Here is a 14,939-nt window from a genome sequence, read left to right as displayed (position 1 = left end):
GCTTCCCTACACAAGATAATAATCTAGTCTGCAGAAATTGGCAACCTAATATAAAATAGAGCTGATGATAATTTCACCATAGGGATTTCAATGTTTTGTGACTATCTATCTATAATTCTAAACATTTTTTGACCACAGTCAAGGGGACAATAAGACCTGGTTTTAGAAATCGTTCTTACACATAATGAAAACTTGTTTGACATCCATTGAGGGAGCATTTATTAACCGCCTCTGGATGAGGTGGAGACTGGCGCTGGGATGTAGGTAGGACGGTGACAAGTGTGGTCCTATCACATGAAGGACAGTCATACAGAGGAAGGGTGAGATCCAGTGCCAGCATCTCAACACCATATGTAACACTTCCTCCTCTGCTCCAAACCAAGAAACAACCGCCCAGCTTCCTTCTCAGGAATCTCATCCATGTGTCTCAGACAGAGGGATCAGGTGTTGCTGAGGAGGAGGGATACACAAAATTCAAACACAGATGCATTTAATCCTTCTCAAAGCCTTTCCTATGAGTACGTATTGTATGACAGCTGGTTGTCCTCAAGAGCTACTCTAGAAACCGTCTTTGGATCTCAGAAACTACTAGGGATCCAGCCGGCCCCATTCTCCCCTGCTACCCTCCTGCAGACGTACATCCTTGGATAAGACACTTAGTTTTCCCTGGACTGAGGGTGATGTAGTACTTACCTCATTTCATTAAACTGATGACTTACTGATACAGCATCAAAAACAGAAGCCACTGCAGTGAACCTTTCTTAGTCCTGGGTGGAGAGCCGTGCATTGTACGTGGGTTAGCTCCTTTTGTCCTCAGAATAATCCATGAAGTAGATAGTAGCATCATCCTCATTTTAGGTTGGCAGCTGGAGTTCACATGGCTTAAATAAATAATGTGCCCCAGACTGCACCACGCGCGAGTGAGCAAGCGGAACCCCACCAGGGCGGCCTCTCTCTTGGTCTTGGAGTGTCACTGTTACTGCCATTCAGAGGGTACAGGACAAGCCCTGGGAGCATCCTTGGGGCACAGCAGCTGCTCAGAAGAATCCTTGTAATCCCGTCCTCTGAATGAGGGATTACTGGAGCAGTTCAGGACGGGCAGGAGGACTTCTGAACAGGTGTTGGTCTGAGCCAGGGAACCTTGGGAGCACTTTAGGAAAACCCTGGAATATCACTTTTTTGTTTGTTTGGTTTTTATTTTTTTTCTTTTTTTTTTGTTTTTCTGAGACATGGTCTTGCTATGTTGCCATGGCTGGAGTTCAGTGGTGCAATCACAGCTCACTGCAACCTCAACCTCCAGGGCTCAAGTGATCCTCCAGCCTCAGCCTCCCAAGTGGCTGGGACTAGGGGTGGATGCCACGATGCCTGGCTAAATTTTAAATTTTTTTGTAGAGACAAGGTCACACTATGTTGCCCAGGCTGGTCTCAAACTCCTAGGCTCAAGTGATCCTTCCACCTCAGCCTCCCAAAGTGCTGGGATTACAGGTGTGAGCCACCACACCCGGTTACTTCAAAATATTTGACAGCACCTGTGCCCACGACATCTTAGGGCACCACCCCCCTGACAGACTCCCTGATACAGGCATGAGATGTCTAAGGGTTTATTTTCCACCTGCCAGCTGTGTGATAGTCTAGCTTTCCAGGAACGCGGCCTCCCGTCGGGATGTTGTGTGTCTTTTCTAAACTGTTCCATTCATGTCAGCTCTGGTTGTCTACAGACCTTTATTTTTCTGCCTCTATAAAGATTCTGTCTTTCCCAGTGGGATTCTCAGAAAATGTCTTCTCTTTTTCAAGACTAGCCAGACACTGCCTTCAGAAAAAAATCTCCTTTCAATTGATTTCAAATAATGCTTTATACTTTGATAAGCATCTTTAAAAGAAAGACATAAACTTGCCTCCAGGCTCTGCAATATTAGCCAGTGTTTAGAGAATAAAGATACTGACAGAAAGAGTTTTGTATTTCAGTGATGGTCTATTACATTTCCTTAAACATCATCCTCGTCCACTTGATGAATGGTAAGATATTTTCATCTCTTTCATTTCATAAGCTATTACCGTTGAATAAAGTTAAAGCACTGAACAAAAAGACAGGATACGTGGCTGTGGTCTTCATCCTGAAGAAAGTGATTAACCATAGGACACCTTGAAATTTAAATCTCTGTCTCTTCACTCATAAAATGGGAGTTATAGTACATGAACTTCTTCACAGAGTAATTGTAGGGAAAACGATTAGTTCACATAAAAGTTATGAAAATGGAGACACTATCACCAAACTGTTATATATGAAACTCCTTTCTTTCTCTTTTCTGTTTCTGTTTTATTTTTGCTGTTTTTGAGATAGGGTTTCACTCTGTTGCCCAGGCTGGAGTGCAGTGGTGTGATCTCAGCTCACTGCAAACTCTGTCTCCTGGGCTCAAACCCTCCTACCTCAGCCTCCTGAGTAGCTGAGACTGCAGGAATACACCATCTTGTCCAGCTAATTTTTTGTAGAGACAGGGATTCACATATTGCTAGGGCTGGTCTTGAACTCCTGGACTCAAGCGATCTGCCTGCCTCAGCCTCTTAAGTGTTAGGATTAGAGGCATGAGCCACCACCCCCGGCCGTTCCTTAATTTTTGAGGAAATTGGCTGTCTGGTCATTTTACTGTAATTACAAATTCATTCTCATACTTCCATTGCCTTATACCTTTGCTGAGCAGACATTTAGTAAGTGCTTACTAAACAAAATGAAGCTGTTTTATTTCTATGGTATGTCGTGACTTTTCAGATGCACCCAAGCAACCTAAAACTGCTCCAACTACAATTTCTCCCAAAGCATACATTTAATTCAGGTTAAATTGGATATAAGAACAAATATGAGACTTAATTTTTAACATCCAGAATTCTTCATGCTGTTACATAAGTTCATGGCAGTATCATTAGGGCACCAACAAGAGGGGTGCAAATTACAGATTCTAAAAGTCATCACAATGATATGATTGCCTGTGTCCCTATTATGTCATTCATCCGGAGAAGTGACTCTTTTGTAGCCTGTGTAATTTCTCCAAGTAGAAACAATACATCGAAGATATCATTTTAATGTAATGCTCAGTGTTGTTTAGAAAATGTTGATGCAGATGTTCTTTCAATAGGAAATGGGAAATTCTCTCTCTTCTGTCCAAGCCTGATGCCAAATGAAGGCATGTTCCCCGCCTTCATTTTCTGTGTTTCCATGTTCCAGCTAAATCACGGCAGTTGAATACAACAGAAGTAAAATTGATTTAACTTCTGAAAGAAAGCTAATCTCAAACAAAATAACCACTTTTGCAATATACAGCTGATCTTTCCAAATATTAAATAAATGGGAAAAAATAAAGCTGTACGTTTCGGAAAGTTGTTTTTTCCCCTTTCATCTCCTATTACAAAAGCCCAGGAGTGGTATTAAAATCAGTTGGCATTCTGTGTATGGAATGCTATAAATAGCTAATCTGCAAATCCCTATTTAGGATGCAAATCAAATCTCTACAGATACTATTTGAAATAGGAATTGCTTATAATTTTTGGTGGCATTTTGCAGAAAACCCTCTCCTTTTCTGGGGAAAGGGTTACTTCTGTGTAGAAGTTCAAACATTTCTCCATCATTTTGAAAACAGATTAAAATCTCATCTCCCTAATGGGAAAAAATGGATGTCCTGATTTGCATGCTCCGCCCTGTCTGTGTTTGTCTCACAAACTGTTATCAGACTCTTTAACATTTCACTGCAGGACTCTTCTGAGCTCAGTGCAAAGTATGGCATTTCAGAAGAATGTGTTGTTTACTTTTTGAGTGTGCTGGGGCCTGTTGTCTGGAACCCTTTCTTAATTGGCTCTGATGCTTGAGTCAATAATAGAAAAGCAAACAGTGGGCATATTAATATTTTTTAAATAGATGATATTAAAATCCTAATCTAGATGACAGGTATTTAGAGGTGCAGACAGCCAGTCTGAAGGCCTTCATACAACTGGTTAAAAAAAAAAGCCTCTTTTATCAAATCAGTTTTAGCATTTTCTGCAGCTCTGTTCCCTGCTGGTATGTAGCATATGACATGATTACTGTGTTCTAGGCATTGTGCTAGAATTCCCAAGTGTTGTTTCTACTTCCTAATATTATCCACATGTTGCTGAGAAGGTACCGTACATGCCAATGGTCAGAAGGTATGGGGAGCCTCAGAGGCGGGACGCAAACCAGGTCCAAATTCAACGTCCTCTTAGGTGAGATCATGACATCGCTTCCTACTCTTCCATGGGAGCTGCTTCCAGGGATAAGAGGTGTTTTATTTTTATTTTTTTGGAGACAGAGTCTTGCTCTGTCACCCAGGTTGGAGTGCAGTGGCATGATCTCGGCTCACTGCAATCTCCACCTCCCAGGTTCAAGCAATTCTCCTGCCTCAGCCTCCCGAGTAGCTGGGACTACAGGCGTGTCCCACCATGCCTGGCTAATTCTTGTGTTTTTAGTAGAGACGGGGTCTTGCCACGTTGGCCAGGCTGGTCAGGAACTCCTGAGCTCAGGTGATCTGCCCGCCTCGGCCTCCCAAAGTGCTGGGGGCCACCAGGTGTGAGTCACCGTGCCCAGCCAAGAGGTCTATTTTTTAAACAGTTCTATATGGTCAATTAATATGGGAAATACTAACTGAAATAATGTTTAGCAGACTTTCGTGAATTCTTAGAGCCCTAAAATATGCCAGGGGCATTTTGAGTGTCTAAGAGAGGGATAAGATAGGGAGGGTCCCCGGTTCATTTTCTCCACCGCTGCCTCCCCCACCACACCCCCTGCAGAGGGCACTCAACTTTGAGAATGGCCTTAGAAGGATATTCTCCCCAGAAGTGCAAGGGCTTCGATACGCAGCCCCCAAGGCACAGGAAAACACGGCCCAGTGGGCCACGTAACTCCAGCACCAAACTCCTGGGCTTGGCTCATAGGACAAGCATGAATTCATGGGCTCTTTCACATCAACACCAACTTGAGCCCCTTTTGTGCCTGGTCCTGCTTTAGGCACTGGGAACACAGAGATAAATCACAAGGCCCTCAGCCTGGGGCGGCTCATTCCCCTGCTGGGCAGTTTTCACATCCAAATTAGGGATGAATGTGGAGTTCTGTGGTGGCACAAAGGAAGGTCGGGCAACCTGCCTGGGAGGATGGAAGCAAAGTCGGTCCCCCCATGCTCAAGTGCCAGGTAGCAAGATAATCTTTGAGCTACAAGCTCAGGAAGAGCCTCTCCTTGGAGACTGAGGCATCCTAAGCATTGTCAGGAAACAGCCTCCTCAGCCCAGCTCTCAGTCCACAGGGACACAGGCACAGAGACCCCAGACAGTGCCCAGGAAGTGCAGAGGGAGTGAGTGCAACAGGACAGGCCTTCCAGAAGCTTCCACATGTCCTGGTCCTATCAAACACCAAGTTCAGGCACTGAAAGACACCCTCATGGGAAGCTCTTGTACTTTCTTGTTTTGTTTTTTGAGAAGAGAATACGGTTTTGTTTGTATGGGTCTTTTCTATTGAAGTTCCCAGACAAATGCAGTAGAATTTAACTACTTTCTAAATATGGTACTTAGGGGCTAGGAATATATAGAGGTGGGTGTCTCCTTCATATCTAAGTCATTCTGACATTCTTTCAAAATACATTCATGTTCCTTAGACCTACAGTGTGAATACGGGAATGCCAACCCCCCTTTAAAAATCTCTCTATATGTTTTTTGTATTTTATATTACTAGAAACTAAACTAAGGTTTGATGTCTGTTTTTGCATATATAATCTTTTCTTCATCATACCACCATTGTGTTTTTTGACAACAGTCTTCAGAGTTTTATTATTTTTGTTAACAGCTTAAAAGACAAATACTGACGTCCTTGAGCTTTTCTTAGTTTCAGTTTCGATTCTGATTGTAGTTTAAAGGGAAAGAAAGAATTACCCATGAAAACTTCACGTGACTAAATGAAAGGTCAAAAGACTCACTAGTAATTTTTCAGAAACGAGGGGGTGGGTGCCGAGAAGTTTCCTTACATACCAAGTTTCTTAAGCGATGTCTGTTATTTTAACATCGAGTTCTGGCATGAACAGCATTCTACAGATCTTTGCCTAGTCATTGTTTTATAAGTTCCTTTAAAACAGGTTTTTGTTAATGTTTATGAATTCATTCATTACATTATACACAAAGTGGTGTAGCTTTATGTCAAAGCAATCCCTCTCTCTCTATTTCCGGATGAGGACAACTTCACTTATCTGCTACGATGGACGTCAGAATCATTCCAAGAACTCAGAGAGCTCGTGCCCCACGGCGGGACGTTTGCATGTTTCCAGGGAAAATGCCTCCTTCTTCTACTTCCTCCCTCACCCCATGCACACACACAGTGACCCACACAGTCACACACACACAGAGACACAGGTACCCACACAGAGTCTCACACAGACACACACCTACACATACAGGCACAAATATACACAGATACACATATGGCCATGCACATGTATACAGACACATGCACACACAGACACACAGACACATATGTGCACACGCAGATGCATAGTCACACAGATACACATATACACACCCTTATACATACACATGGACACACGTCTATACACTTACACACTCACAAAGACACGCACACATAAGCTCATGCACAGCCATACACACAGACACATGCACACATATATACATGAACATACACACAGAGACACACAGCAGTACATATACACACATACACACCCAGCACACACAGACACACATGTACTGTACACACAGACATGAATACACACATGCACACGAGCACATACACACCCCCAGAAGCATACGCGAACACGGGCACAGGTGCAAGTGCAGACATACACAGGGTCACACACACCTAAATATACACATGGAGACACAGAAGCACACAGACACGCTCGGAGACCACAGACACACACATGTACATACAGGAACACACACGCGCGTACATACAGGAACACACACGCGTACATACAGGAACACACGCGCGCGTACATACAGGAACGCACGTGCGCGTACATACAGGAACACACGCACGCGTACATACAGGAACACACACACAGAGGTTTCTTTTGGGGGTTGGAGGTGGGGTGTTGAGTTCCCCCTCCTCAACCCTCCAACCAGTGCTTCTCCCGATTACTCTTTCAGGGATCGCTACCAGATGTTACAGTCCGGTAGCTCTGAAACAAGGTCCCTGTTGCTGGAATTTCCCAACAGAAGATAAGCCTGGTCAGGAATGAAGAGCAAGGAATTCAAGAATCAGATGAAGAGTGTTCATTGAGCCAGCATAACTCCAGATTCTCTCCTCTCTCAGACTCACCTTTCCTAAGGCAGGGAATCCTGTCATAATTATAGAAGCAGCTCTGTCGTAAGCAAATAACAGCAAAGATGAGTCCTAAAGGCAAGTTAGCGTAAGTTAACATATGTCCATACGGCAGCACCTGCGGCCCTGACGCCTGCCTCTATGTGGACAGGCATGCAGACTCGGGCTTGAATTCCTGTGCCACCAATCACTGCCCTGTGTCCCCAGGGAAGTCATTTGCCTTTCTAAGCCTGAGTTTGTTTCTTGATCCACAAAAGGGAGATGAGACTGCCACGTAGCTACATCGCCTGAGTAGGCCAGCTCCTTCCCCTTCACCCCGGAAGAATGCTTCCGGTCCCCTTCCCTCTGCCCCCGAGAATGCTTCCAGTCCCCTTCCCTCTGCCCCCCGAGAATGCTTCCAGTCCCCTTCCCTCTGCCCCCCGAGAATGCTTCCAGTCCCCTTCCCTCTGCCCCCCGAGAATGTTTCCAATTGTGCGGGTGCTTCTCCTTCTCAGGGCTGGCCCACTTTCCAGCCCACTGTCTTCTTGACATCTCTTCTGTGACAAATTTCTCTCTTTTTTACTGCAACCTCGTCCATGGAGGCCACAAAGTGAGTGTGTGTGTGTGTGTGTGTGTGTGTGTGTGTGTGTGTGTGTGTGTTGGGAGGAGTGAAGCGGGGAGGAGCCTCACATCACTTGCAAATTAGCAAGCCTATCATCACGTTTCCTAAGGAACGGATAAGAGTTTTCTCTAACAGAAAGCCTCACTCCCTCAGCAGTCAACTCACACCATGGCCAGCTTCAACATATTTTTAAAATAAAATATCCTCTTATGACATATGATGGCTGACAAACTCCCCTTTCTCCCCTCCCTATTACTCACTCTCTCTTCCTATTTTTTAAGAAGGCGGCAGTGAGTTTGAAGTGTTCTTAAATCAATCGCGCTGGGCCCTGGTGGTACCGGAGGTCTTGTCATGGCACCTAACGGTTTTAGTCTGATTTTTAACAGATTCTTGGACACCAGAGGCCCAGGGAAATGTTATCTGGAGGCAGGTCTGGGGTGAAGGCACGACCCTGGAGCCGATCTGCAGGATGGCTTGAAACCGTGAGCCTGTCTCACGTGGCTGGGACCCCATCCCAGAAAGCACTCACTACCCTCCAAAAGATTCTAGTATCACAAGAAATCCCACTGCCTCAGGTTTGGAAATTTCCAAACCTGAGAAAACTGAGAAATACCCACATAAGTACTTCCTACCACCAAACTGCCGGGATGCCAGCAAAAGGCTCCATATCGTCCCCATCGGGGTCCACAGCCTGCGCGTCAGCCGTGAGATTGGAAGAAGCTGGGGTTGATAAGCAGCCCTGTGGGAACCAGCTATAAACGCACACATGGAGACAGAGGAGCACACAGGAAAATGGAAGAACTTCACGGCCAGTTTATTTGTAACCAGAGCCAAAGCCTTGAGCCAGCCACGCCGGTCACCGGTCAGCTGCAGTCGGCCTCACTGCCCGGCAGGAGCTGTGGCCACCACGTCATGGAGGAGTGGGAGGGCAAGGGATGAAGAGGGGGAAGATGAGAATCAGAGCCAAATCCTCGTGGCTCCCCCAGGCTGTGAGGACGCATCCCTGTGGGTCAGTTCCAGGCCTGAGCATTCCCATGTGTGGGAATCACATGTTTATTAAAACGTCAAGTCACCCAGAACGCGTGTGTTTCTGTGCTTAGCTAGCACATTATAGACCGTGTGTTATGAGCCACGCGTGGACTCCAGACTCATCACCAAGGTGGTCTTAAGCACCAGGGTGGTGTCAGGCAAAGGTTTGGGAGTTTAGCCTTCTCTGAAACTCCTATTAGCACAAAGTCATTTACATAGGCTGATCGGGTTCAGGGGTGGTGACTTGGTATAATTTTCCTATCACTGTGTGATTCTATTCTATGCCTTTACGTTTTTTAACAGCCTCCGTTTCCCCACCTTACGGAGTGGAGTTTCTTGATCCCATTCCAGAAGGCGCTGTGGTTTGCACCTTTTCTACCATATCCACTCTGCATTCTTCAAACACTTTATTTAAGGCAAATTGATTCTCCCACTGCCGCCTCAGGTTAAGTCTGCTGAAGTCAAATTGCTCAGTCCAAATTCCAAGGTTTCTCCTAATCCTTTGCCACACACCCTGCAACTTTATCTCTCCCTGCGGCCAGAGGCTTCCTCATGACCTCACGGCTGGGGCATCTGCTCCTGGGCTTTGCTCAAATCCTTCCAGACGTGGGGCAACTGTGCAAGCAGGGAGTGGCCCTGTTTAGAGGGCCTCAGAATCAAATTTCCTTTCTCTAGTGATTGTCTGTCGGGTAGAGATTGAACACCAGCATGGTAATAGAATCCAGCCATAAAGGCATAAAATAATACAGCCTATTTAAATTATTTTATAGCTGGCCAATATCAATGTTACACACATATGCCAGTCATCAACATTTTTTTAAACTAAAGCTTTTTACCTTAGATAAGCCTCATCCTCCATTTCTACTAGATTCTTGTCATGCAGATAAGAATAAAATACTCAGCTTGTACCTAAACAGAGGTCATAAACAAAAATAACTGACGTTTTAACCAAACTGTCTTCTGAAAGATTGGAAATGTCTTATGAAAATATTATTGGGGGAGAAGAATGAGGTCTGTGGAACTGCATTTCAAACTCCTTCTTAAAATATTTTCAGCTTAGGCGAACAATGACAGTTTCTGCAAGAGTCCAGAATTGTAAAATTTACAAAAAAACTAAATATAAAAACTTGCAAATATCTAAATACAAAAATATCTAAATATAAAAAAATGGATGGCCATTTTGGATATTGTTCTTATATAAAATATTTAAATAATACAAAATTATAACCTGGATCCCAGGACCACAGGATAGATTTGTAGTCAATAAAGACTGCTGTGTGAGACATCGTTAGGCTTACAGTTTAGAAAGTTCCTCCTTCGATATACAAAAGCAACAATAGAATCATCTTTTCTTCTATTCATACACGGCGACAAATAGAATCTATTTTTTAAAATATTTGTTCTATGCACCACTTAGAGAAGGAGAATTAGCAGATCTAATTGATCCAACTTCAAATTCTGTACTTCACCAGCCAAGTGGCCCCAAAGAAGTCACTGAATTTCCCGGACTCAGTGTATTCTCTGCTGTCTCACAGGTAAACTGCCTGCTTAGACATCCGCACTGCTCTTGGAAGTCTTAGTGAAACAAAGAGGTTGAGAGCACCTTGAAAACATCACCCAGGAAACCTAAGGACCCTGTCGCATCCCACATTCATTCCTAAAAATCTTCACATCTCACCTAGAAAAATGAAATCAATGTTGGAAAGATGAACCAAAGCTCTGTGCTTTGAGATTTCAAGTGATGTTAAGACTTTCTTAATATAGGTTGGTATTAAGAAGAACTCAAGTGGGTCACAGACACAAGATTAATCTTCATGCCTGTTAGGAGCCTCCATTGTGATCTAATTTTGCCTCCAATTACATGGCAGTGTTTTATCAACAGAACACCTTTCTCTTCATCTAGACTGTTTCTCTTTGAAGATCAGAGGGCTGTGACTTTAGCTTTATTTACAGGTTTGGCCAACTATCTAATTAGTGAGTCTGATAATGTTTACATCATCACTTTGATAAAGAGGAGAAAAGAATAGCTGAATTTCCCAGAAACCAAGTATGATTAAAATAAAAATGTGTCACATTCCTCCTCTTTAAACAAAGGCCCAAGCAAAAGAAATGGTATTGATACCAAGAGGAGCAACGCCATGCCTGGCTGCAGGAAAAAAAAGCCATATATGATGCTGTGATTCCTACAACATGGTATGATTCTTTATTGAAATGTCAGTATTTATCTGTTAAAGTCTAAGTAATGGCATGACGAAGGGTCTTGTAATTTTTAATTCACACCAAACTTTCTGTTTATTTTAATTGGCCAAATGTAGATCAATAAACAGAACTGCTAGTCAAATGGGAGATGAAGAAGTAATTCCAATCATGTCATACCAGGAGTGTGGATATACACAGAAGGGGTTCAGATCCCTTCACATCAAAAGTGGTGATAACTTGATGTGTTCAGAGAAAGATGGCTTTTTTTTGGGGGGGTGGGGTGGGGAGGAAAAGAGGCCCATATATGTTCATGTAATTTTAGCAGTTTACATCTCCACCTTCTCTGACTGCAAATCCCAGAAAGAGAGAGTCAGAGAGGCCGGTCTCTGAAGCTGACAATTAAATGATGTCCAGGTATTCTTCAGGAAGAGATATCACCCTTGGATACTCTCCATGCAATTCATGAAAGATAACGCCAATTTGTATAAAATACAAAAGATACTGAAGGCATCACAAAATCACAGAGCTGGTCATCTTCCTAAATATATGGGGTTATATCATGCTTTGAAATGGAAGGCCCTGCAGTAGGTAATCTGCATGTCAGCACGCATTCTCCTGTCCTGTTACTAAATCTACCTCTGACTGCGTGTCTCCTGACTTGGGGTGTGCATGGACACTGCCTTGTGACCCGTCAAGAAGGAAGCTACTTACAAAACCATTACATTCACATCCATCTAGCACAGGATTTGAATGTCACGTTGAGGTCTACCTAAAGAATAGCCATGAGAAAAAATATCTTCATCTTATTGATTTAATATATACTATAAATTTTTAATAAATTTCCCCACAGTGGCATTTAAGAGAATACATTTCAAAGGGAATTATTATACCATTTCATGGGAAAGGGATTCTCGTGTTGACCCCAGATCTATGGAGAACATGAACTCAAGTCAGCTTCCCGCTGGGCTCTGTCCACAGTTAACCAGAATCATCAATTCCTTAGCTTGGAATTCGCTTTGTTACGGTTGTCTGGTTATCTGGTCTTTATCTTAAAAAGATCTTTTCCGCCATAAGATAAGTTTGCAGGCATGGAGTCTGGATTTGTGGTTATTGTAAGTGGGAATGCTAAGGGCCAACATCTATGAATAATATAAATTGAAATGGCCAATACTGGAAATCTGTCTTTCCAGAGATAAAGGTTATTAGAATTTATGTGCCTAGCACACAAGGAGAAAAAGTAACTTTTTCATTTTGCTGAGAAACTAGAAGGTTTCAAAGTAAGTGAAGTTTGTACTCAGTCATGGATTAAGTCAGCGAGCACAAACATAATCTACCGGGCACTCGTCTACACAGAGAGGAGACAGAGGTGGCCACAAGACCCCTGAAGGCACTGACCGATGACTTCCCATGATATCCCCCCACCTCTGACTGCATCAGAATGGATCTTACAAATGTGCATTTTCTTTTTCTTTTCTTCTTCTTCTTCTTTTTTTTTTTTTTTTTTTTTTTTTTGGACAGAGTCTCCCTCTGTCACCCAGACGAGTGCAGTGCAGTGGTGCCATCTGGCTCACTGCAACCTCCCGTGTGCAGTGGTGCCATCTGGCTCACTGCAACCTCCTCCTCTCGGGTTCAAGTGATTCTCGGGCCTCAGCCTGCCAAGTAGCTGGGATTACAGGCGTCTGCCACCACGCCGGGCTAATTTTGTATTTTTAGTAGACACAGGGTTTCACCATGTTGGTCAGGCTGGTCTCGAACTCCTGACCTCAGGCGATCCACAGCCTCCCGAAGCGAGTGTGATGAATTTTAAGAAATGCATACCCCTACCCCTGAATGGCCATCCCCAAATCCGCAACCAACACTTCTGCTAACACAGAGCCTCTGCGTGCAGACTCCCTTCCCGCTCTGCCTCCAGCATGCCCTGATGGGGTTTCTATCTCGAAAGATGAGTTTGGCCTGCTCTAGCTGTTCACGCAGTGCAATCGGACCCCACCTGTCTTTGGTGTCTGGCTTTTTCTGCTCAGCGTGAGACCGAGATTCAAGAGTCACTGGTATGCATTGGATCATTTTCCCACCAGATATTGCTGTTTTATCAAGTAGATACTGAACATTTTAATTACATTGAAATTCCATTCATGACTTAAGAAAACAAAACTATTTAACATAGTAGACACTGGGGGAACTTCCGGTTTAACTTACTAAACGGGTAATCATCTAGCAATCATTTTGCAAATGATGAAATATTACAAATATGGCATTCAACATCAGAAATAACCATCTAAATCTTAACCATATAATATTTGCTGAAACACTGAAGTTTCAGATCACATACAACTCTGCCCCCTTCTTATTCAGCTCAAAGAAAAGCTAAGATTAAAACATATAAAACATACCCTTTTAGTTTTTTAGAAATACATGTGGAATGAAATGACCTCTAACTCACAGGAAGGAAATAATGATGGCGGCCTTCTGCACGGCCTGACGGAGGGTGGAAGGAGGTTTGTGGGCTCACAGCAGGAAAGGTGCTGCTTTTATTTCCATTTGCGTGGAGAGACTGGAGCCTCACTCAAGAAAATAACCTGATTACAGTGGCAGAGCATCATGGTCAAATAAACGTCAGCAATAAAATACATTCTAATCTGGAAGCCCAGTGTACGCATATGTGTGTTTATGTACACATACACATAGGCATGCGTGTACACACATGCACACACCTGGATGGAATAAAGCCAGGGCTCCTCTCAATGAATTTACTAGTAACTATTCCACGAGGGGACCTTCCTCATCAGCACTAGCTGGGATCCTGGATGGGGCATGTCACAGAAATCGTGGTCTTTGCCCATGGAGGCAGAGGACAGCAGGATCCCAGACCCCGTGGGATCTGAGGAAGGGCCCTGCCTCCCTCTGGATGACTTCTCAGGCTCAGGCGCTGATCTCTTCTGGGGATAGCATTGCTTTCTGCCCTTACATTCAGCATCTTCCAATATAAACTTCTCAGCGAGTTTGTTTGCTTGTTTTAACACGATTTGAGCAGGTTTTGTTTTGTTTTGTTTTGCGACCAAATATCCCAGACCAAGCCACATGCTCAGCTGGTAAAATGGAATTTTTCAGCTGAAAAGCTATGTCGAGGTATAACTAGAACTCTGTCTGACGTTCTCCTTCTGCAAGGGAAGACCGTGTGGAAGCACTGTTGTTCTCATCACGGTCACACTCTCTCCCCGACAGAAAGGTGCTGACGCTGTGGGGTTGGAGCTCCAGTTGAAGGTGTGGCCTCTGATGCCCGGCCGTCACCATCTGGAAGGCTTTTCTGAGTAATCCAGGAAGAACGCGGCTTTGCAGAGATTTTGTGGAAATTAACAAAGATCAGTGGCCCCCGCTCTAAAGATTAAAGGAGCATTCAAGTGTGCTTACATCATAAACTCACTTACTTGACTCCTGTCACCTCTGAAAGCTCAAAACCATTTTTGTCCAACTCTCTACTTCCCCCATAGTGGGTTGGACCACTGGTCACCATGGTGTTGTCCTTACAGATTTTGCTCTGGCTGAGCCACGTTTTGAAGGTGACATCAGATAATGATCATTGTGATTGGACCTGGGATCATCTCAGTGCAAAGATGTTTCTTAAGCACGCACGATGACAGAGATAAATGGCGTTCACCAATGGAGGTAGTTGTGATTAATAGTACTTCTTAGTGCACTGTCAACAAAGCTGCAAGTTCAATAGATTCCAGTCAATTAGGAAGTAATAGTGATAGATCCAAGCAGCCTTCCAATGAGCGTGAGGGCAGA

At 43.9% G+C, this 14,939-nt stretch overlaps 1 long non-coding RNA gene across 1 annotated transcript, besides 2 other annotated features; it reads right to left on the bottom strand.

Moving 5' to 3' along the window:
- Positions 1–202: 202 nt before the first annotated feature.
- On the bottom strand, positions 203–981 carry LINC02639 (long intergenic non-protein coding RNA 2639). The gene is made up of 2 exons (NR_134490.1): positions 694–981; positions 203–450 (listed from the first exon to the last, which is right to left on the bottom strand). It is a non-coding gene; the product is annotated as a long intergenic non-protein coding RNA 2639 (long non-coding RNA).
- Positions 4,344–4,932: an enhancer, noted in NCBI's record as "NANOG-H3K27ac-H3K4me1 hESC enhancer chr10:3872191-3872779 (GRCh37/hg19 assembly coordinates)". NCBI's record gives its function as "activates a minimal SCP1, AML or CMV promoter by ChIP-STARR-seq in primed H9 embryonic stem cells {active_cell/tissue: H9 hESC(primed)}" and the evidence as "EXISTENCE:reporter gene assay evidence [ECO:0000049][PMID:30033119]".
- Positions 4,933–5,521: an enhancer, noted in NCBI's record as "NANOG-H3K27ac-H3K4me1 hESC enhancer chr10:3871602-3872190 (GRCh37/hg19 assembly coordinates)". NCBI's record gives its function as "activates a minimal SCP1, AML or CMV promoter by ChIP-STARR-seq in primed H9 embryonic stem cells {active_cell/tissue: H9 hESC(primed)}" and the evidence as "EXISTENCE:reporter gene assay evidence [ECO:0000049][PMID:30033119]".

This window comes from Homo sapiens, chromosome 10, assembly GCF_000001405.40.
Source record: "Homo sapiens chromosome 10, GRCh38.p14 Primary Assembly".
In the NCBI taxonomy this organism is placed as follows: domain Eukaryota; kingdom Metazoa; phylum Chordata; class Mammalia; order Primates; family Hominidae; genus Homo; species Homo sapiens.
This window is presented reverse-complemented; position numbering and strand designations above follow the sequence as displayed.